Raw genomic sequence first — 24,066 nt, 5'->3', positions numbered from 1 at the left:
TTTTCTTGTAAATTTGTTTGAGTTCTTTGTAGATTCTGGATATTAACCCTTTGTCAGATGAGTAGATTGCAAAAATTTTCTGCCATTCTGTAGGTTGGCTGTTCACTCTGATGGTAGTTTCTTTTGCTGTGCAGAAGCTCTTTAGTTTAATTAGATCCCATTTGTTAATTTTGGCTTTTGTTGCCATTGCTTTTGGTGTTTTAGACATGAAGTCCTTGCCCGTGCCTATGTCCTGAATGGTATTGCCCAGGTTTTCTTCTAGGGTTTTTATGGTTTTAGGTCTAACATTTAAGTCTTTAATCCATCTTGAATTAATTTTTGTATAAGATGTAAGGAAGGGATCCAGTTTCAGCTTTCTACATATGGTTAGCCAGTTTTCCCAGCACCATTTATTAAATAGGGAATCCTTTCCCCATTGCTTGTTTTTGTCAGGTTTGTCAAAGATCAGATGGTTGTAGACGTGTGGTATTATTTCTGAGGGCTCTGTTCTGTTCCATTGGTCTGTATCTCTGTTTTGGTACCAGTACCATGCTGTTTTGGTTACTGTAGCCTTGTAGTATAATTTGAAGACAGGTAGTATGATGCCTCCAGCTTTTTTCTTTTGGCTTAGGATTGACTTGGCAATGCAGGCTCTTTTTTGGTTCCATATGTACTTTAAAGTAGTTTTTTCCAATTCTGTAAAGAAAGTCATTGGTAGCTTGATGGGGATGGCATTGAATCTATAAATTACCTTGGGCAGTATGGCCATTTTCACAATATTGATTCTTCCTATCCATGAGCATGGAATGTTCTTCCATTTGTTTGTATTCTCTCTTATTTCGTTGAGCAGTGGTTTGTAGTTCTCCTTGAAGGAGGTCCTTCACATCCCTTGTAAGTTGGATTCCTAGGTATTTTATTCTCTTTGAAGCAATCGTGAATGGGAGTTCACTCATAATTTGGCTGTTTGTCTATTATTGGTATATAAGAATGCTTGTGATTTTGGCACATGGATTTTGTATCCTGAGACTTTGCTGAAGTTACTTATCAGCTTAAGGAGGTTTTGGGCTGAGACCATGGGGTTTTCTAGATATACAATCATGTCATCTGCAAATAGGGACAATTTGACTTCCTCTTTTCCTAACTGAATACCCTTTATTTCTTTCTCCTGCCTGATTGCCCCGGCTAGAACTTCCAACACTATGTTGAATAGGAGTGGTGAGAGAGGGCATCCCTGTCTTGTGCCAGTTTTCAAAGGGAATGCTTCCAGTTTTTGCCCATTCAGTATGATATTGGCTGTGGGTTTCTCATAAATAGCTCTTATTATTTTGAGATACGTCCCATCAATACCTAATTTATTGAGAGTTTTTAGCATGAAGGGCTGTTGAATTTTATCAAAGGCCTTTTCTGCATCTATTGAGATAATCATGGTTTTTGTCGTTGTTCTGTTTATATGCTGGATTACTTTATTGATTTGCATATGTTGAACCAGCCTTGCATCCCAGGGATGAAGCCCACTTGATCATGGTGGATAAGCTTTTTAATGTGCTGCTGGATTTGGTTTGCCAGTATTTTATTGAGGATTTTTGCATCGATGTTCATCAGGGATGTTGGTCTAAAATTCTCTTTTTTTTGTTGTGTCTCTGCCAGGCTTTGGTATCAGGATGATGCTGGCCTCATAAAATGAGTTAGGGAGGATTCCCTCTTTTTCTATTGATTGGGATAGTTTCAGAAGAAATGGTGCCAGCTCTTCCTTGTACCTCTGGTAGAATTCGGCTGTGAATCCGTCTGGTCCTGGACTTTTTTTGGTTGGTAAGCTATTAATTATTGCCTCAATTTCAGAGCCTGTTATTGGTCCTTTCAGAGATTCAACTTCTTCCTGGTTTAGTCTTGGGGGAGTGTATGTGTCGAGGAATTTATCCGTTTCTTCTAGATTTTCTAGTTTATTTGCATAGAGGTGTTTATAGTATTCTCTGATAGTAGTTTGTATTTCTGTGAGATCGGTGGTGATATCTCCTTTATCATGTTTTATTGTGTCTATTTGATTCTTCTCTCTTTTCTTCTTTATTAGTCTTGCTAGTGGTCTAACAATTTTGTTGATCTTTTCAAAAAACCATCTCCTGGATTCACTGATTTTTTGAAGGGTTTTTTATGTCTCTATCTCCTTCAGTTCTGCTCTCATCTTAGTTATTTTGTTGCCTTCTGCTAGCTTTTGAATGTGTTTGCTCTTGCTTCTCTAGTTCTTTTAATTGTGATGTCAGTTTTGGATCTTTCCTGCTTTCTCTTGTGGGCATTTAGTGCTATAAATTTCCCTCTACACGCTGCTTTGAATGTGTCCCAGAGATTCTGGTATGTTGTGTCTTTGTTCTCTTGGTTTCAAAGAACATCTTTATTTCTGCCTTCATTTCGTTATGTACCCAGTAGTCATTCAGGAGCAGGTTGTTCAGTTTCCATGTAGTTGTGTGATTTTGAGTGAGTTTCTTAATCCTGAGTTCTAGTTTGGTTGCACTGTGGTCTGAGAAACAGTTTGTTATAATTTCTGTTCTTTTACATTTGCTGAGGAGTGCTTTACTTCCAAGTATGTGGTCAATTTTGGAATAAGTGTAGTGTGGTGCTGAGAAGAATGTATAATCTGTTGATTTGGGGTGGAGAGTTCTCTAGATGTCTATTAGGTCTGCTTGGTGCAGCGCTGAGTTTAATTCCTGGATATCCTTGTTAACTTTCTGTCTTGTTGATCTGTCTAATGTTGACAGTGGGGTGTTAAACTCTCCCATTATTATTGTGTGGGAGTCTAAGTCTCTTTGTAGGTCTCTAAGGTCTTGCTTTATGAATGTGGGTGCTCCTGTATTGGGTGCATATATATTTAGGATAGTTAGCTCTTCTTGTTGAATTGATCCCTTTACCATTATGTAATGGCCTTGTTTGTCTCTTTTGATCTTTATTGGTTTAAAGTCTGTTTTATCAGAGACTAGGATTGCAGCCCTTGCCTTTTTTTTGTTTTCCATTTGCTTGGTAGATCTTCCTCCATCCCTTTATTTTGAGCCTATGTGTGTCTCCGCACATGAGATGGGTTTCCTGAATACAGCACACTGATGGGTCTTGACTGTTTATCCAATTTGCCAGTCTGTGTCTTTTAATTGGAGCATTTAGCCCATTTACATTTAAGGTTAATATTGTTGTGTGTGAATTTGATCCTGTCATTATGATGTTAGCTGGTTATTTTGCTCGTTAGTTGATACAGTTTCTTCCTAGCATTGATGGTCTTTACAATTTGGCATGTTTTTGCAGTGGCTGGTACTGGTTGTTCCTTTCCATGTTTAGCGCCTCCTTCAGGAGCTCTTTTAGGGCAGACCTGGTGGTGACAAAATCTCTCAGCATTTACTTGTCTGTAAAGTATTTTATTTCTCCTTCACTTACGAAGCTTAGTTTGGCTGGATGTGAAATTCTGGATTGAAAATTCTTTTCTTTAAGTATGTTGAATATTGGCCCCCACACTCTTCTGGCTTACAGAGTTTCTGCCGAGAGATCAGCTGTTAGTCTGATGGGCTTCCCTTTTGTGGGTAACCCGACCTTTCTCTCTGGCTGCCCTTAACATTTTTCCCTTCATTTCAACTTTGGCGAATCTGACAATTATGTGTCTTGGAGTTGCTCTTCTTGAGGAGTATCTTTGTGGCGTTTTCTGTATTTCCTGAATCTGAATGTTGGCCTGCCTTGCTGGATTGGGGAAGTTCTCCTGGATAATATCCTGTAGAGTGTTTTCCAACTTGGTTCCATTCTCCCTGTCACTTTCAGGTGCACCAATCAGACGTAGATTTGGTCTTTTCACATAGTCCCATATTTCTTGGAAGCTTTGTTCATTTCTTTTTATTCTTTTTTCTCTAAACTTCTCTTCTCGCTTCATTTCATTCATTTGATCTTCCATCACTGATACCCTTTCTTCCAGTTGATCGAATCGGCTACTGAAGCTTGTGCATTCGTCACGTAGTTCTCGTGCCATGGTTTTCAGCTCCATCAGGTCCTTTAAGGACTTCTCTGCATTGGTTATTCTAGTTAGCCATTCATCTAATCTTTTTTCAAGGTTTTTAACTTCTTTGTGTTGGGTTCCAACTTCCTCCTTTAGCTCTGAGAAGTTTGATTGTCTGAAGCCTTCTGCTCTCAACTCGTCAAAGTCATCCTCCTTCCAGCTTTGTTCCGTTCCTGGTGAGGAGCTGCGTTCCTTTGGAGGAGGAGAGGTGCTCTGATTTTTAGAATTTTCAGTTTTTCTGCTCTTTTTTTCCTATCTTTGTGGTTTTATCTGCCTTTGGTCTTTGATGATGGTGACGTACAGATGGGTTTTTGGTGTGGATGTCTTTCTATTTGTTAGTTTTCCTTCTAACAGTCAGGACCCTCAGCTGCAGGTCTGTTGGAGTTTGCTGGAGGTCCACTTCAGACACTGTTTGCCTGGGTATCATTAGCAGAGGCTGCAGAACAGCAAATATTGGTGAACAGCAAATGTTGCTGCCTGATTGTTCCTCTGGAAGTTTCGTCTCAGAGGGGTGCCCGGCCGTGTGAGGTGTCAGTCTGCCCCTACTGGGGGTTGCCTCCCAGTTAGGCTACTCGGGGGTCAGGGACCCACTTGAGGAGGCAGTCTGTCTGTTCTCAGATCTCAAGCTCTGTGCTGGGAGAACCACTACTGTCTTCCAAGCTGTCAGACAGGGACATTTAAGTCTGCAGAGGTCTCTGCTGCCTTTTGTTTGGCTATGCCTTGCCCCCAGAGGTGGAGTCTACAGAGGCAGGCAGGTCTCCTTTAGTTGTGGTGGGCTCCACCCAGTTCGAGCTTCCCGGCTGCTTTGTTTACCTACTCAAGCCTCAGCAATGGCGGGCGCCCCTCCCTCAGCCTTGCTGCCGCGTTGCAGTTTGATCTCAGACTGCTGTGCTAGCAACGAGCGAGGCTCTGTGGGCATAGGACCCTCCGAGCCAGGCATGGGATATAATCTCCTGGTGTGCCGTTTGCTAAGTCCGTTGGAAAAGCGCAGTATTAGGGTGGGAGTGACCCGATTTTCCAGGTGCTGTTTGTCACCCCTTCACTTGGCTAGGAAAGGGAATTCCCTGACGCCTTGTGCTTCCCGGGTGAGGTGATGCCTCACCCTGCTTTGGCTCACGCTTGGTGCACTGCACCCCCTGTCCTGCACCCACTGTCCGACAATCCCCATTGAGATGAACCTGGTACCTCATTTGGAAATGCAGAAATCACCCGTCTTCTGTGTCGCTCACACTGGGATCTGTAGACTGTAGCTTTTCCTATTCGGCCATCTTGGAACTGCTCCCTATTTTTCTCATTTATAAATCTGTGGGATGATTGTTCCCAATAGCCTTTTACCTCCATTGATGATATTGCCTGAATCAGTTTTTACGTTATGAATTATAGGGAAATTGCTTTTTAATGGCCATATGTAATCCATATTTGAGATCCATATTTGCAAGGAAAGATGCATTACTACCACTGAAAGAACCCACTCTTGCCTTTTCTTTTTAAAAGTTAATATATTATTTGGATCATGGATTTGAAGGTATTTGAGTTCCATGTATGCATATTTTCCTTAATGAGTAATTTTGAAAAACTGATTTAATTTAAAACAATAAGTTAATGACAGATCTCTCAGATAGTTTTAGAACTCCTAACAATGAGACACATCAAATAGCTATGTGATATTTATTGAGACCCTACTAAGGTACAAGGAATCACACTAGATAATACAATGTACTTAACATTAAAAGTTGTAGTCTGAAAGTACTTACCCATTTAAGAAGATAAGACACATATGCATGTAAAGATGGAAGTATATTTGTGGCAGGAAACCAAAATGCTAAATGACTGGTGTAGTCAGTTAATGCTTTTGGTATTCACAAAGCTAGCACTTTCAACTTTGATGCTTGCAAAGCACTGCAGGTATATGAAGTGTCTTGATTATGCTTCTGACATTCTGAACTGGGACCTTTCAAGTGTTTTTTTTCCCCTAATAAATACTTACCAAGTACATGCCTATCATGTTATAGCAACTAAAGAAACAAAAAGAATAAAACGTGCTCCTTGCACCTGGACATAGTTATTGGGTGAGATGAAAAACATAGCAACCTAAAATCATTTAAAAAGTGCTATAGTAAAGGTATCTACTTAGTGCCATGGTTCTATAGAAGGGAGAACTAGGAAGTCATGTTCATTGGGTGATGGGTGTGTGGCAGGAAAGGCTTCACAGAGGAAGGGGCATTTGAGACTGATAGGAATTTTTTTGGGTGAGAAGGGAAGAAGGGTGTTCTAGGCAATAGAAAATAGGAAGCATGCTGAGGAGTGTGTGTGTGCATGCCATGGTTTTAGGGAAGACAAGTGATGCCATTTTCAGAAAATTTGGGAGTAGTCCTAATTTGGGAAGGAAAATGGTTATTCACCCTTTTGTATGTGTGTTGTAATTTTGCCTTATATTGGAGAACAACACAGTTTTAATGATAGATATAATTTTTCAGAGAAAGCATATGGAAAATGAACATTGAAGAATGGACTGAAGAATGAATATGAGAAACACACACTTTACTAACAGGGAATGAGAGGAAAAGGAGACCTCTTTAGAGAAGTCCAACAGCAAGAGAGCTAAAATGGATTATAATGTCATTGAACCAATGGGCAAGATTTTACAAGAGGATAGTGAAATAACGCCACATACAGCGGTGTGCATGAGGAAATGAAATTAAAGGGGCCATTGGATTTGACAATAAAAGAAATATCATGAATTCAGTTTCAGGGATTTGAGGGGAGGGAGGAAGCTAGACTTTTGGGGAATAAGGGAAGAGTGATGCTTAAATACCAGATTTAAACCATTCATTTGAAAAATCTGTCAGTGAAAAGTAGGAGAGCAATAAAGTGAGCAGCTTGGTTAAGTGAAATATTTTTTTTAAGTTAGAGAAAATTTTTGTATATGTGATGGCAGAGGGGAACGTGCTAGTGTGGTAGGAAATACTATAGCTGGCAGAGAAAGAATAAGATGGAGTGAAGGTTGGGAGGAGATGAGAACATAGGTGATGGGGTTAATCTTTGAAAGGAGGAGAGGCAAACTCCCAGTTGGTCCAGAGGGAAGGTGAGCATGAGGGATGAGCAGAGGGAAGGAAGAATTACTGAGGAACAGAAGAGGAAAAAAGAGGGAATTTCTCTGTGATGGTTGTGATGTTCTCTGTGAATTTGGAGAAGGCAGAATCATCACGGTTTTAGAACTTCCTCTTCTATTTATGTATCCCGGGAGTGTGAATGAAGAAATCTCTGCCCACCTAACATAACCTATAGTTGGTGAGTGGTATGGCAGAAGTTTGAAAAGCCAAGGGAGTAAAGTTGTGGTATGTTCTACCATTAGAAAAATGTTAATACAAACAAAATATCAGGCAATGTAACACTCTAATACTATTTAAAAATGCAGTTATTGTACAGCATGATGACTACAGTTAATGTATATTATATTCTTTTTTGTTTGTTTTTTTTTTTTGAGATGGAGTCTTGCTCTGTCACCCAGGCTGGAGTGCAGTGGTGCGATCTCAGCTCACTACAAGCTCCACCTCCCAGGTTCACGCCGTTCTCCTGCCTCAGCCTCCTGAGTAGCTGGGACTACAGGTGCCTGCCACCACGCCCGGCTAATTTTTTGTATTTTTTAGTAGAGACAGGGTTTCACTGTGTTAGCCAGGATGGTCTCGATCTTCTGACCTCGTGATCCATCCGCCTCGGCCTCCCAAAGTGCTGGGATTACAGGCGTGAGCCACCGCATCCGGCCATGTATATTGTATTCTTGAAAAATGCAGATATAGTGGATATTAAGTGTTCTCACCACAAAAATGATAACTATGTGAGGTAATGCATTTGTTAGCTAGATTTAACTATTCTACAATGTGTATATACTTCAAAATATCATGTTGTATGTGGTAAATAAGTGCAATTATTGCTAATACATAAAGATTTAGAATAACCTTATTTAGGAACACTAAATGTATTACTAGTTTAATTTTAAAAGTTTTGTTACAGTAATTTAAAAGTATATTTTAGATAGACAAAATGATTAATTGACCTAATTTTAAAATGTTTCAAATTTTGCAGTGTAGTGTTATTTTTTAACTGAGGGCTTCTCTCTGAGACTAGTCAGTACTATTAAAAATTTAAGCAGCACAAATCCAACTCAAGCAGTCAAGCAAAAAATTAAAAGACAGTGGATATGTTAGATTAAGTAAATGGGAGTCCAAGATGGACTGATCTCAGGCATGCGTGGATCTAGAACCCTGATGATGATGTCAAGGGTCTTCTTCTGCTGTGTGGGCTGGCTCTGTTTCCACCTGCCATGGCTTCATTCTCAAGCAGGCTTCTGTTGTGTGCTTATAGCCTCAGGGCAACGTCATCACGGCTCACTGTCTGAAAGGAAGATAGACTCCTTCTCACCAGTTATATGGTAAATTTCAGAGGTGACTCTGTGTTCCTCCTTATGTCAGTTTTTCATCCCTTAATGTATCACGGTAGCCAGGAGTCAGGGGGATGGCAAACTTGATTGTCTGGATCCTGGGTTATGTGCTCATTTCTTGAAGGAGGTCACTGTGGTTATGAGTTGTCGGGGAGTAGTGGCTTTTAACATTTTTGGCACATTTCCTTTCAGTCTTATGTGTGTGTGTGTGTGTGTGTGTGTGTGTGTGTGTGTGTGTGTGTGTACATGTACGTCTTTGTTCTGTAACAAACCAAGTTGTCAAATGAAAGCCTTGTGTTGAAATCACATTCCTTAGGAAGGAATTAGTCTTTGATTGCTTATATAAGTGAGTCTTCACAACTTTTTTAGTTTATGTTTTCATAAAGATGCAGTGGAAGCCTTTTCTTTTTTATAAGTAAAAGTGTTTTTCATGTACATAACCTAATATTTTTAAGTCCTTCACAAAAATGAAGTAACTCTATGTGGATAACTTCAGTAGTAACAAAAAGAAACAAAACAACCATCCTGTCCCCCACTTGCCCCACCAACCTGGATTTCTCCTTGGGATTATGAAAGCAGTATGATGGAAGAGAAGGTACAGCTGGCTTTGGAGGCAGATAGATCTGGACTTTTAATGTTGTTGGGAGGATTTGAGATAATTACATAGAATCCTTAATATAGTAGTGCTAGGCTCATAATAGGTGCTTGATAAGTGATAACTGTTATTATAATTTTTTAAAAAAAATTATTGAGACAGGGTCTCACTCTGTCACCCAGGTTGGAGTGCGATCATAGCGCACTGCAACCTTGAACTCCTGGGCTCAGGACATCCTCCTGCCACAGCCTCCCTAGTAGCTGGAACTACAGGTGTATGCAACCATGCCTGCTAATTTTTAATTTTTTTGTAGAGATGGGGTCTTGCTGTGTTGCCCAGGTGGGTCTTAAACTCCTGGCCTCAAGCGATCCTCCCATCTTGGCTTCTGAAAGTGCCAGGATTATGGGCATGAGCCACTGTGCCTGGCCTGTTAAAATTCTTACTGATAAGCATTGACTTTTTTGTTTTGCTGAAAAGCACTGGATGTGAATGAAGTCCTGGGTTTTAGTCCTAACTCTTTTGGTAACCAACTGTATGCAACCAAAATATAAAACTACTTGACACACTGGGCCTTTGTTTTCTTGCCTGTAAAAATAAATGGATGGATTAGAAATTTTGTCTAGCTCTAAATTTCTACTATTTAATAGAGTAATTTGGGTTACACAAAAATATAAAATAGAAGGAATCCTAGTATACTGTAGGAAAATTAATGATCTTGGTTTTGATGTAAAACCAAGAGTTCCAGCTTCTCTTCCCAAACTTGCTAAACTTTAAGAACAACAATAATGACTGGAAAGTTTACAGTAAAAATGCATCTTATTTATGTTCAATAAAATTTTGTTTTGATTAGTGTCCCTAAAGTCTCTTCTAGCTCCAATATTTGATATTTCCTTTCCAATAAATTCTAGCCAGGAATATTACTTTAAATTATAAATGTATAGCTATTTTCGTCACAGCTGCCTGTCATGGTTTCGTTTGCTACCATGTCATGTAGCGTAGAGGGGTCATATGGAACTTTTTGTAACAGAATTTGACTCTACCTTACCAGTAGTTAGGCTTAATAGTGTATTGTGTTGGAGTATACCTGAGGAAAGAGAAATTAAGCCAGCAAAAAAGTATACAAACTTACAAAAAGGAAAATTCTGACCAGGCATTTGGAAATGAGCTGCGGCCTTTGGGGTCTGTTAAGATTCCTACAGTCAAGCCGGGTATTATTTAAGATGATTGTGAAAACCAAAGGAAATAATGTATGCAAACTTTTTAGTGTAGTATTTTCCATATATATTAGCCCCCACTATTGTTTTTATCCTATAGGAATATTTTTCCTCATAACAGATTTCAGGAACTAACATAAGATCAGAAAGAATAAAATTGTAGTTTGGGGTTTCGGTTGGCCTTCTTCAGTTTTTGGATATAAGATTCCAGTAGCATCCATATAAAAATTGCATTAGATTTTCCATTGGATATTTGCTGTTGACTAAATGTGGCTCGATAATTTTTGCAGGTCACTACTATAAGACTAGTGCTTCAGCTTTTTTGAAATAGTAGATTAAATTGGTAAATATGCAAAACTGCCCTTGGTTTTTTGATGCTCCCTTCTGCAGGTTCTGCTTTATGGCTATCATGATCTGAATTTGTTTCTTTATTTCTAAGTAGCTCTTCTTGAACTCTGTTTCAAAGAGTTTCCCTAACCTCAGAATTCTCACACCTGGCTGATTGGCCTCTAGGGAGTATTCAGAAGGCAGTCTTTGTGCTATTATACTTTTTTGTTGGCTGGATAAACATCAGTAGTGTTTAAATGAAATAATAACCCTGAAAAGATTTTTATTACCGTCTTTAAAACTTTATCCATGGCATGGCAAGTCCTGTTTCATTGAACATTTACATATGAAATACATGGGTTGATGGAATTATTAGGTCAAAAATGGCTTTTAATGGTTTTTAAGTAGTGAACAAGAAAATTTGAATTATCTTTTTTTCTTTTAAGGATTTCATTCTTTGTTACAATCTCCATATCTCTCATAGTTCAGAGATAATAGAAATTGTTTTTAATATTCATTCATTCATTCAAGAAATGTTTATTTAATACTCATTATGGGATAGGCCCTGAGGAATAACATAGATAACATACCTTATATTTTAAAAAGCTAGTAGCTCATTTTAATTTCATTTCAGAATAACTTTGTAGCTGCAAAATAAGACTAGTTTAAGCTATAAAGTCAATTAGCACACCAGTGAGTTTTGGGTAGGCTAGATGGTAAACTTCATCTTTCCAACATACTTAGCTTTATTTAACTTGATGTTTCTGAAGTGTTTTGACCTATTCAGCCATCACCCCTACTGAACCCACTTTCAGAAATAATAGTTAAGTATTTGCTAGGTTTTCATTAACTGGAACTGAACATTATTAGGTTAATTATATGATATTTATAGGGCAGAAATGGTGCATATCATTGTATTTTATGGCTTATCCTAACTAGTTGGGTGATACTGTCTTAATTTGCCTAAGGTAGTTCTGGTTTACTCTTGTCGCTCCAGTGTGATTATTATACATAATCTCTCTTTTTTTTTTTTCCTCGAGACTGAGTCTCACTCTGTCGCTGGGCTGGAGTGCAATGGCGCGATCTTGGCTCACTGCAACCTCTGCCTTGTGGGTTCAAGCAATTCTCCTGCCTCAGCCTCCCGAGTAGCTGGGACTACAGGTGTGCGCCACCACACCCAGCTAATGTTTGTATTTTTAGTAGAGACGGGGTTTCACCATGTTGGCCAGGATGGTCTTGATCTCTTGACCTCGTGATCCGCCCACCTTGGCCTACCAAAGTGCTGGCATTACAGGCGTGAGCCACTGCACCTGGCCCATAATCTCTTCCTTAAATCTTAGAAGTGCCCTGGGTGAATTATATGGCCCTCTTATAGCTAACACTCTTAGTTAGAAAACATATTATGTGCCAGGCAGCATTGTAAGCATTTGATATATATTAACTGAGGCCTCACAACAGCCCTGTAAGGTTGGCACTGCTTTATCCTTGATTTGCAGATGAGTAGACTGAGGTACAGAAAAGTTAAGTAACTTGTCTAAGGTTGTACACCTAGCAAGTAGTAGGGTCAGGATTCAAACACAAGCACATTTGGTCCTGGAAGGTATACTCCTAAACAGTGTGCTTTTCTGGTACAGATGAGATTGCTCAATGAACATGTTTAAGAGAAGGATGAGAGGATAGCACTCTGGAGAATACTGACATTTAAAAGCAAGTAAAGGAAATAGAAACTTGGAAATAAGACAGAGAATAAGAGCTAAAAAAAAAGGAACTTTAAGTTATAGACAGAATTCAGTTACTTGGATCCCCCCACTCCCCAAGAATTGTCTTCATCCTTTTTTAACTAGAAAGAAATATTTTTCTTTTCACTATTTAATAAGTGCCCCAAAGTGCTAGATAGTTTTCCTTTGAAATATAGTAAAAGAGCATTTATTGAAAGCAGCTTGTTTATGTGTGCTTTGTTTAAAAATTAGAGACATTTTATTTTTTCTTAAGTAACAGAAATCAGACTTTCAAAAAAGCTCTTTAAACCTAGACTAACTTATTTATGACAATTTTGTCATATATTTGAAAGTTAATTTTAGGAAAATTACAGAGCCTTTTAACCACCCTATGGCCAGACTTCAGTGTTGTTCTTTTTATTTCTACCTCATTTCATGTTGAGTCTTAACTTCGCTGTCTCTCTTTATCATCCCCTACCCCTAGTCTGAATGTTGAAGAATGCTAAAGTATATTTTATTGCTTCATTGACTAAAACTATGTTTCTAAAACTATGAATTTGCTTAATGAGTCAGCAACTGTAACTATAATTAACAGTATAGTTTTTACAACCATAGTTTTGTGGTAAATGTGCAGTTCTCAGAATTTAAATGTAAACGTTCAATGAAATTAAACAAAACCCAAATCTTCATGCAATAGGTAGTATATATGTATTCAGTAAGGGTCACCAAACATTAATTGAGGTTCTATTATGGTTAACTTTTCTACTTTGTACTTAGGGATAAAAAGATGAGTAAAATTGTTTCCTGCATTTTTCCCCACCCATTCCCTCCCCATTTTCTTTCTTTCCTACCTTCCACAGCCCCATTGAGTGTCTACTTAATGTGCCAAGCACACAGTATATAAAGATATAAAGAGCTCAAGGATGTAAAGATAAATGAGGATCTAGTGCCTGCCCTAGTTCAGTTATCCCTTAGGAAGACAGACCAGTCCTATGTCAGTCAGCTCAGAAAAGTGCAATAACTGTTGAAGCCAGGGCCACACCCAGTCTTGTCTGGGTTCACTACCCCACTTTCCACTCATACTTTAGCGATGAACAGAATTTAAGTCATCTAAAAGGAGGAGCAAGATTAAAACAGTGAAGGAGGTATGATGAGTAACAGAAAGGAGCTCATTGGTGACTAATGAAAGAGCAACTGCTGTGTTAAGGGGTTGATGACCATATTCGCCAGTGTGGAGTTGAAGGTTAAGGAGTGAATGGGAAATGAGAAAGTAGACTTCAAAAAAGCTGGATGTTGTGGAGAGGAATAGAGAAAATTAGAGGTTGAACATGTAGTAAGAGTGAGTGAATATTTTTTAGAATGGGGAGATAAGTGTGTTTGTTTGCTGTCTAGGAGTGAGCTATAGAATTGTCCAGGTGAGATGGAAAGATAACAGAGAGAAGATATGAGAACAAAATCCTGTAGGAAATTAGATAATATCAAGAACATAAATAGAAGGCCTGGCACAAAGTCTCATGCCTATGATCCCAGCACTTTGGGAGGCTGAGGCAGGCAGATTGCTTGAGCCCAGGAGTTTGAGACCAGCCTGTAACATAGCGAGACCACATCTCTACAAAACAAAAAAAAAAAAAAAAAAAAAAAATTAAAAATTAGCCAGGTGTAGTGGTGCATGCCTGTAGTCCCAGCTATGTGGGAGATCAGGAGGCTGAGGTGGGAGGATCGCTTGAGTCCAGGAGGTCAGGCTGCAGTGAGCAGTGGTCATGCCACTGCAGCACTCCAGTCTGGGTGACACAGTGAGACCCTGTCTTAAAAAAAAAAAAAAAAAAAAGGGCCTGGCACAGTGGCTCACGCCTGTAATCCCAGCACTTTGGGAGGCCTGTAATCCCAGCACTTTGGGAGGCCGAGGCAGGCGGATCACGAGGTCAGGAGATCGAGACCATCCTGGCTAACATGGTGAAACCCCGTCTCTACTAAAAATACAGAAAATTAGACGGGTGTGGTGGTGGGCGCCTGTAGTCCCAGCTACTTGGGAGGCTGAGGCAGAAGAATGGCATGAGCCCAGGAGGTGGAGCTTTTAGTGAGCCGAGATCACACCACTGCACTCCAGCCTGGGTGACAGAGTGAGACTCCATCTCAAAAAAAAAAAAAGAAAAACTGTTTTTTGGTTTTTTTTTTTGTTATCCTAACTTTTGAATTACTTCATAAAGAAGTTTAGTGATCTATTTGATTATGTAGAAGCTCTTCTGATAGTTATACATGCTTAATCATTTAAGAATAATTAAAGGAACTATATTGTCATGTTATCAGGCATTCCTTTATGAAAATGTTAGAAACTCCTCTTTCATCTATACCTTCCCCACTGTTTAACCCTCCAATCAAAAGCACATATTCTGTGGTAAGAACAGAGAATATCTATTTTAAAGGTCATTTGTGTCAAATTGTCCTAACTAGCTGTTGGGATTGGGAGGTGCTATTTGGGTCATAAATAGCAAGTTTTCTCTCCCAATAAAGCAATGTCTGAGAATCCCAAGATTCTCATTTAGTAGATCTGGGTTGAGACCTAGAAGACAGTTAATTCATTTAGCCACCAAATGTGTATTGAGTGTCTTCCTATTATATATTTATTACCATATTGTGTAGGTAGTGTTAGAAGACATCCCAGGTGCCTACTCTGTAACTGGCGGAGAGATAATAAACAAACAGGATAATTTTATATAGTGCTAAGTTCTGTGAAGAAAGTATACCATGATATGTGCCAGATAATTACCTGGCAGGGGAAAGGAGAGAGAGAGCTTTGCATAGAGTGATCTTGGGAGGTGTCTTTTGAAGAGATAACTCTTATTTTTTATCTTGCTTTTTTTTTTAAAAAAGTATTTTTTAGGTTGTAGTAAAATATATATAACATAAAATTTACCATTTTAACCATTTGTAAGTGCACGTTTCAGCGACATCAAGTACATGCACATTGTTTTGCAACCATTCACCACCATCTGCCTCCAGAACTTTTTTCATGTTGTGAAACTGAAACTCTGCAGCCATTAAACAGTAATTTTTTATTTTCTCTCTCCTCTCAGCCCCTAACAACAACCATTCTTTCTGCCTTCTTAAATTTGACTGCTTTAGTGCCTCATGTAAGTGGATCGTACAGTATTTGTGTGACTGGCTTATTTCACTTAGCGTAGTGTTTTCCAGGTTCATCCATGCTGTGGCACATGTCCGCATCTCCTTCCTTCTTAAGGCTAAATAACACTCCATAATATGGATGTACCACATTTTGTCTGTCCACCTTTGAACTGAGATCTGAAAAATGAGAAGGGGCCATGCAAGAACTAGAAGAAGAACGTTACAAGCAGAGGAAAGAACATGTGCAAAGGCCCTGAGATAGCAATAAACTGGTTGGTGGTCTAGGCCAGTGTTGTCAGAATATATTAATAGTAGAGAAAAGTGCCTGGAAAGAATGGTATTAAATGGGATCAGAGATAGACATACATTGGCCGTATTATTTTAGGCTTTGAAAGACCTTGGCTTTTAAGTGGAGTGAGAAGCTGCTTATTAGGAAGTTTTAAGTGGGGGAGTGACTTAATCTGATTTCCATGTAACAGCAAAAGCAAAAATCACCCAGACTGCTGTGTGGACAAGCATCCTTGTGGATTCTAATGCAAGTCTGTGATCGGACTTTGAGAAATACTAATTTAGTCCTTAAGTCAGTATCCTGAGATAGCTGATTTCAAAAGAGCTCTCTCAGGGCTTCTGACCAAAAGTGACAGATTGGCTACACCTGTACATCTCTTCTTATTTCCTAATCCCTGCCTAAATGGAAGAAAGAAATCAGAGACTGGGAGAGGTTACAACAGGAGACAGAAGCTGCTATACCTCTTTCAAATAAGCAGATGGACAGGTAGTGACTGACTTTGCAGAGGAATCACACAGTACCTGTAAGTGCACAAAAATACCTGTAAGAAATGCAGTACTGTGTTTGTCCGAAGCTCCCAAGAGTCTCAGCATTTGGAGGCACCAGATACTAAGGAAGATAGGGGTCAGAAATGGAGCTGAAAACAGGGGAGCTGGTCGGAAAATCTGTGTACACTGACAGGTGGACCCCTACGATTTTCTCCCTATGTGCCCTTGTGGATGGGTGAGTCCCTTCACTACCAACTCCCTGGCCTCAGGAGAACAAGGTTTATTCTTTGCAAAATTAATGAAGAGCTGTCTGGACTTTGAAACCAGGGGCCGTGGATTGTTGCTTGGTTTAAAACAAGGAGATCGGCCGGGCGCGGTGGCTCACGCCTGTAATCCCAGCACTTTGGGAGGCCGAGGCGGGTGGATCACGAGGTCAGGAGATCGAGACCATCCCGGCTAAAACGGTGAAACCCCGTCTCTACTAAAAATACAAAAAATTAGCCGGGCGTAGTGGCGGGCGCCTGTAGTCCCAGCTACTTGGGAGGCTGAGGCAGGAGAATGGCGTGAACCCGGGAGGCGGAGCTTGCAGTGAGCCGAGATCCCGCCACTGCACTCCAGCCTGGGCGACAGAGCGAGACTCCGTCTCAAAAAAAAAAAAACCAAAAAAAAAAAACAAAAAAAAAAAACAAGGAGATCAAGGGAAACCTACGCCTGAACTATAGAAGTGTTAGCTCTCTTCCTCTGCTCTCCTTCCAGAACTGCACAGTCAAGCCTGTCCTATCCTTCTCCTGTGGAAGACTGAAGATAACAGCATCTTCAGATACTGATAGGCTTTCTGCTGAGAGTACCTTAAGTGAATTCTACCAGTCGTTAAGCCCTGTTTTCCCACACAGATCTTTCAGTTAGTTCTTTTCAGGGGCTTATTCTTAAATATGAGCAAACAATCTAACACCATTGGTCATCTGGGGGAAGACTCCAACATTAAAAAAAAAAAAAAGTAGACATAGAGAGGTGGAGAGGGAGTGATACTTGGAACACTGGGAGAAAACAGATACCATAAGGGATCAAAAGAAAACTTTAAAAATCTCCAGTATTATCAGAGAAGACATGTATTTCCTTCCCCACTTAAATGATAGTGAACACATATAAAAGCAGAAATCCATGAGGGTAAAGAGAACGAGATGAGAGATGACAGCAGGCAAACAACGTCAACTAAATATTGGAAGCTGAGAACCTGGTGCGTGAGTGGTAACAGAATTTAGCAGAGCTGAGAAAGCAGAAAGTCCTATGGTGTGGGTAGTTGTGCAAAAACTGGTATTCTTTTAATTAATGATGTGCTTTGCTCTATTTGGACTGCTGGGTTCTTATTTTTGAGCAGTATGCTCTCTCCCAGTTGAAGCTGTTAATGGGCTGTCCACCAATGGAGAAATCAGAATGATTAAAATGTAGTTCTTGTATTTTTATGGTTCTCTTAAGCAGTCATGCATTATACTCTTCTTCTTGTGTCTGAGCCAACATTTCATAGGAGTAGATAACACCCATTTCTGGTGGCACTGACAGCAGGGTTGAAAAGAATGTTATAAAAGAAAATATGAATAACATTTAACTTAAGAATATGTTCCAAATTTTGTTTGTAAAGTAGTTGTTTAAAACTTGGTAGTTCTTTTTGATATAATGTTATAAATGGCAGTTATCCTAGACCAAACTTTAAAATATGTTTCATTAGCAATTAAATGGGCATTTGTAAGTTCCCAGGGAAACCTAATCACATTGTATAGTATTTTTTAATGAAGAAACACTAGCTGGGTACAGTGGCTTATGCCTGTAATCCCAGCACTTTGGGAGGCCAAGGTAGATGAATAGCTTGAGTCCAGAAGTTTGAGACCAGCCTGGGCAACATGGTGAAACCTCATCTCTACAAAAAATACAGAAAAATTAGGTGGGCATGGTGGCTTGCGCCTGTAGTCCCAGCTAATTGGGAGGCTGAAGCGAGAGGATCACCTACGCCTGGGAGGTTGAGGCTGCAGTGAGCTGAGCCATGATCGTGCTACTGCACTGTACCCTGGGTGACAGAATGAGACCCTGTCTCAAAAAAAGAAAAAATGCTTTTTAATGGTAAAATGGCTACATGGATTTAGATTTAGACTTGAATTCAAGTCCTACTTCTACCATTTTTCTGCTATGTAACCATAAGTAAATTTCTAATGTTTCTGGGTCTCAGTAGAATGAGAATAATATCTAATCAGAGGGTAGTTGTGATGATTAATGGATGTTAAAGTAGATGAGCTACTCAGTCGAGCTCCTAGACCCTAGGGAGTCAATAAATAGTCGGTTTTCTTCACCCTTTTTTTTTTTTTTTGAGACAGTTTTGCTCTGTTGTTGAGGCTGGAGTGCAGAGTGCAGTGGTGCGATTATAGCTCACTGCAGCCTTGATCTCCTGGGCTCAAAGGATCCTCCCTTCTAAGCCTCCTGAGGAGCTAGGGCTACAGGTGTGCACCATTGTGTCTGGCTAATTTTATTTTTTTATAGATACAGGGTTTCACTGTGTTGCCCAGGCTGGTCTTGAACCCCTGGCCTCAAGAGATCCTCTCACTTCAGCCTCCCATAGCATGTGGGATTATAGGTGTGAGCTACTGTGCCCAGCTGTTGTTTTCAGTTTTACTCTTCTGTGGTATGTGGTAAGAGGGAGCATTTGTTTTCTAGAGCCTGCAGCATGTGTGGGTCAGTTGAAAATGTATAAAAATTTTGAGTTACGCACGGTGGCTTGTGCCTGTAATCCCAATACTTTGGGAGGCTGAGGAGGGAGGACTGCTTGTGCCAGGAGTTTAAGACTAGCCTGGGCAACATAGTGAGACCCTGTCCCTAAAAATATGTAAAAAAAATTTTAAAATAAAAATTTTGAAATGCAATTTGTGTCTTAAAATTCTGCCTTATTTATTTGCAACGTGTGTTTCTTGTCATGTATTTGCTGCTGTATGCTGGTAGAAAAAGCATAGAGAGTGGACTCAGGCAGTCCATGCTCTAGCCTCCTGTTCTACTCTGAACTAGATGTGTGACATTGTAAGTGCTGCTGCTTCACTTCGGGTGTTACTCCTGATTTGCACAGTGAAAAGTGTTTTATTACAAGATGATTTCTAGAAGTTTGTTTCTGTTCTGACATTAGATGACCTGTGATATGTGAAGCTTAAGACATCTTTTTTCATTACTGGGTTTATACGGGGTGTTGAGGCTTGTGATACATTTACTGTTATAAATTCATTTTAATGTGTTTGGAGGACTTGAGATGATTGGAGATTATTAGATTGATAGCTGATGTTTGGCTTTATTATTGGAAAATAGTTCTAGCTACGAAACCTGTTTTTGAGTGAAAGTATGCTAGGAATGGCCATTGCTTTTCTTCCTACAGAGATAAGTGATCTCTTGGTGTTGTACACATGAAGCTCTCACCTTTATTTTTAAAGTCATGGATTTTACCTTGGCTCCTATAAACTCTTCTCCCCTCCCCCATGTAGCTGTAAGCATTCCTACTCCTAGGATGATTTGGAATGTGTGTGTTTCAAATCATGTTTAGTGATTGTAAGGCTAATCTCAGCTTAATTATCACTGCCAAAGGAATCCTCTGACCCCCAGGGCCAGATCATGTTGTTTGCTTTCATGGTATATTTTTCCCTTTTCATAGTCCGGGTTATATATATAGATGTATAATTCCATAATATCTTGTCAGCAAAACTGGAAGCTCTGGGAGGGCAGTGACTGTATCTCTTTTGCTGACTTTTATCTATAATGTCGGGCACATGATTGGCAGCATTGGAGACATATTTTTGAGTTAAGTGAATAAATTGTTTCCCCACAAATAATAAATTAATAGAAATTTAATGGTAAAAGCTCAAAATGTTTATTAGAATCATGATGGTAGCCTTTGTTATTACCAGTGAATTTAAAAGGAAAGAATAACCAAGGTGTTTGTATAAATGACTTATTATTGTTTGTGCAAGAACAGTGAACGTTCCCTAGTACAGGAAGCAGCTTTAAAAAACTGCTGGCAGAACTAAGAAGTCAGACTGTCCTTGACCCCTAGATCAAATGTTTTTGAGCCTGAGTTTCCTTAAATCTTCTTCAGTTGAGAATAAACATTTTGACAAAATAGAAGATTTATTCTGTTAATTTTTGGTCTTCATAAACCTAACTAAATTTGCTAAAACAACAAAAACTTTCTAATTTTTACTAGTTTTGTTTTTTAAAAAGTTTGTTTCCTTTTAAGTGCATAACACTTTAAAATGAGCTCAGCTGTATTAGCAGATAAACATGTTGATTCATTTGGTCCAGAGCTACTGAATGAAGCTTGCAGGAGCACAGTTTGTTCTTTATGCCGCCCAGGGGCAGAATGTTTCTCTTCCTCTCCTCCTTATTGAGAGAAGGGGACTGGAATAAGTGACTCCTCTTATTTAGGTTTGCCTGAATTGTTGACGAGGGAAGGGGGCAAGATTTCTTCACCATTTATCCTTCGTCTCATTTAAATTCTGTTCATTAACATAAAGTATATGCACTCATACTGTGATATACATGTTGAATTATTAGTGTCATATATTTACAGTTTTTACAAAACCATTTTACTTAATGCTCTGGTTTGAGTAATCTGTTGTTTAAAGGTATAATGAATCAGAGTTGTTTTTAGGCGTATTGCGTTTTTGAGGATGGACTTAATTTTGGAAGCAAAGAGAAGTATGTTCTATCCAGTGGAGTGGAGTTGAGATAATAGGTATGCAGTTCGCCTCTCATACCCATTGTGGGTTCTGCATCTGTGGTTCTATCAACTGTGTGTCAAAAATACTTGAGAAAAAAAAAAAAGAATGGTTACGTTCATACTGAACATGCATAGACTTTTTCCCCTTATTTTCCCCTAAACAATACAGTGTGACTATTTATATAGTATCTACATTGTATTAGGTGTTTTAAATAATCTAGAGATGATTTAAAGTACAGGCCTAGCTTGTTTTATTGCACTTTGCTAATACTGCATTTCTTACAAATTGAAGATTTGTGGCAACCTTGAGTCGAGCCAGTCTATCAGTGCCATTTTTCCAAGAGCATGTGCTTATGTTGTGCCTCTGTGTCACATTTTGGGTAATTCTTGCAGTATTTCAACTTTTTCGTTATTATTATACCGGTTATGGTGACCTATGATCAGTGATCTTTGATGTTACTGTTGTAATTGTTTTGGGGCACCACGAACCATTACCCATGTGAGGTGATGAACTTAATAAATGTGTATGTTCTTAATGATCCAGCAACTGGCTGTACCCCTGTCTCTCTCACTCCTGAGACACAACAATATTGAAATTAGTCCAGTCAGTAACCCTAAAATGGCCTCTACATGTTCAAGTGAAAGGAACAATCACACGTCTCTCTGGAAATGAAAAGCTAGAAATGATGAAGCATAGTGAGGAAGCTATGTTGAAAGCCAAGACAGGCAAAAAGCTAGTCCTCTTGAGCCAAGTGAATGCAAAGGGAAATTTCTTGAAGGAAATGAAAAGTGCTATTCCAGTGAACCCATGAATGATAAGAAAGCGAAACAGCCGTATTGCTGATAAGGAGAAAGTTTGAGTGGTCTGGGTAGATCAAACCAGCCACAACATTTCCCTAAACCAAAGCCTAATCCAGAGGCAGGCCCTAACTCTCTTTAATTCTATGAAGAGAGATGAGAAAGCTGCAGAAGAAAAGTTAGAAGCTAACAGAGGTTGATTCATGAGGTTTAAGGAAAGAAGCCGTCTCCGTAACATAAAAATGCAAAGTGAAGCAATCAATGTTGATGTAGAAGCTGCAACAATTTATCCAGAAGATCTAGCGAAGATCATTGATGAAGGTGGTTACACTAAACAATAGATTTTCAGTGTAGACAAAACACTCTTCTATTTGGTGAAGAAGATGTTATCCAGGACTTCATAGCTAGAGAGAGAAGTCAATGCCTGCCTTCAAAGCTTCAAAGGACAGTGACTTTCTTGGTCGTAGCTAATGCAGCTGGTGACTTTAAGTTGAAGTCAGTGCTCCTTTACCATTCCAAAAATCCTAGGACCCTTAAGAATTATGGTAAATCTGTATTCTGCCTGTGCTCTATCAGTGGAAAAAGAGAGCCTGGAAGCCAGCACATCTGTTCATAGCATGGTTTACTATTTTAAGCTTACTGTGGAGACCTACTGCTCAGAAAGATTCCTTTCAAAATATTACTGCTCATTGACAGTGGACCTGGTCACCCAAGAGCTCTGATAGAGATGGACAAGGAGATGAATGTTGTTTTCATGCCTGCTAACACAACATTTATTCTGCAGCCCAGGTATCAAGGACTAATTTCAACTTTCAAGTCTTATTATTTAAGAAATACATTTTCTAAGGGTATGGCTGCTGCCATAGGTAGCAATTCCTCTGATGGCCCTGAGCAAAGTCAGTGAAAAACTTTCCGGAAAGGACTCACCATTCTAGATGCCATTAAGAACATTCATGAATCATGGGAGGAGGTCAGAATATCAGCATTAACAAGAGTTTGGAAAAAGTTGAATTTCAACCCTCATGGATGACTTTGAGGGATTCAAGACTTCAAAGAAGAAAGTAACTGCAGATGTGGTAGAAATAGCAAGAGAACTAGAATTAGCAGTGGAGCCTGAAGATGGAACTGAATTGTTGCAGTATTATGATAAAACATTAATGGATGAGGAGTTGCTGTTTTTTATCTGTTTATTAAAAAGATTTTTTTAAAGACAAAGTCTCATTCTGTTAGGCTGGAGCAGAATACAGTGGCACGATCCTAGCTCACTGCAGCCTTGAACTCCCTGGCTAAAGCGATCCTCCCTTCTCAGCCTTCTAAGTAGCTAGGACCACAGTCACACACCACTGTGCCTGGCTAATTTTTTAAAAAAATTATCTTTTGTACAGACAGGGTCTTGCTTTCTTGCCCAGGCTGTTTTCGAACTCCTCGCTTCAGGCGATCCTCCTGCTTTGGCCTCCCAGAGTGCTGGGAATACAGGTGTGAGCTACCACCCCTGGCCAGGCATTGCTTCTTATGGATGAGCAAAGTAGGTGGTTTCTTGAGATGGATTCTACTCCTTGAGAAGATGCTGTGAACATTGTTGAAATGACAACAAAAGGATTTAGAATATTACATAAACTTAATTGATACAGCAATGGCATGATGTGAGAGGATTAACTCAAATTTTGAAGAAAGTTTTACTGTGGATAAATAGTATGACACGTTACAGAGATATATTTCATAAGGAAGAGTCAATTGATGTGGCAAACTTTATTGTCTCATTTTAAGAAATTGCCACAGCCACTCTAACCTTCAGCAACTGCCACCCCAATCAGTCAGCAGCCATCAAGGCAAGACCTTCTACCAGCAAAAAGTTTATGACTTGCTGAAGGCTCAGATGATCCTTAATTAAGGTATGTGCATTTTAAAATCATAATGCTGTTACACAGAAGACTATAGTATAGTGTAAACATAACTGTCATATGAACTGGGAATCCAAAAAATTTGTGTTACTCACTTTATTGTGGTGGTCTGGAACAGAACGTGCAATGTCTCGAGGTATGCCTGTATACAGGATAATGTGTGTAGGTTATATGCAAATACTATACCATTTGATATAAGAGACTTGAATATCTGTGGATTTTAGTATCCTTAGTGGGTCCCGGAATCAGTCCCCCCCACGAATACCCAGGGATAGCTGCACTCACACATAATGAATTTATAGTGGAAATTCTATGAAATGTATATAGAGTTGTTATAATATACCTAGGATGATCATTGGTATTTCGGAATAGCTTTTAGAATATGACCAAGATACATGACATCTACTATTATATAAACCTGTGTTTGT

At 39.3% G+C, this 24,066-nt stretch overlaps 1 protein-coding gene and 1 long non-coding RNA gene across 13 annotated transcripts in view; both read left to right on the top strand.

Moving 5' to 3' along the window:
- Positions 1-24,066, top strand: part of AKT3 (AKT serine/threonine kinase 3) — a 362,847-nt gene that overhangs the window by 38,749 nt on the left and 300,032 nt on the right. The window lies entirely within an intron of this gene.
- AKT3-IT1 (AKT3 intronic transcript 1) lies at positions 17,931-19,126 on the top strand. The gene is made up of 2 exons (NR_046761.1): positions 17,931-18,071; positions 18,751-19,126. It is a non-coding gene; the product is annotated as an AKT3 intronic transcript 1 (long non-coding RNA).

Source organism: Homo sapiens, chromosome 1 (assembly GCF_000001405.40).
Source record: "Homo sapiens chromosome 1, GRCh38.p14 Primary Assembly".
In the NCBI taxonomy this organism is placed as follows: Eukaryota; Metazoa; Chordata; class Mammalia; order Primates; family Hominidae; genus Homo; species Homo sapiens.
Note: the sequence above shows the minus strand (reverse complement) of the source record. Positions and strands in the feature narration are given on the sequence as shown.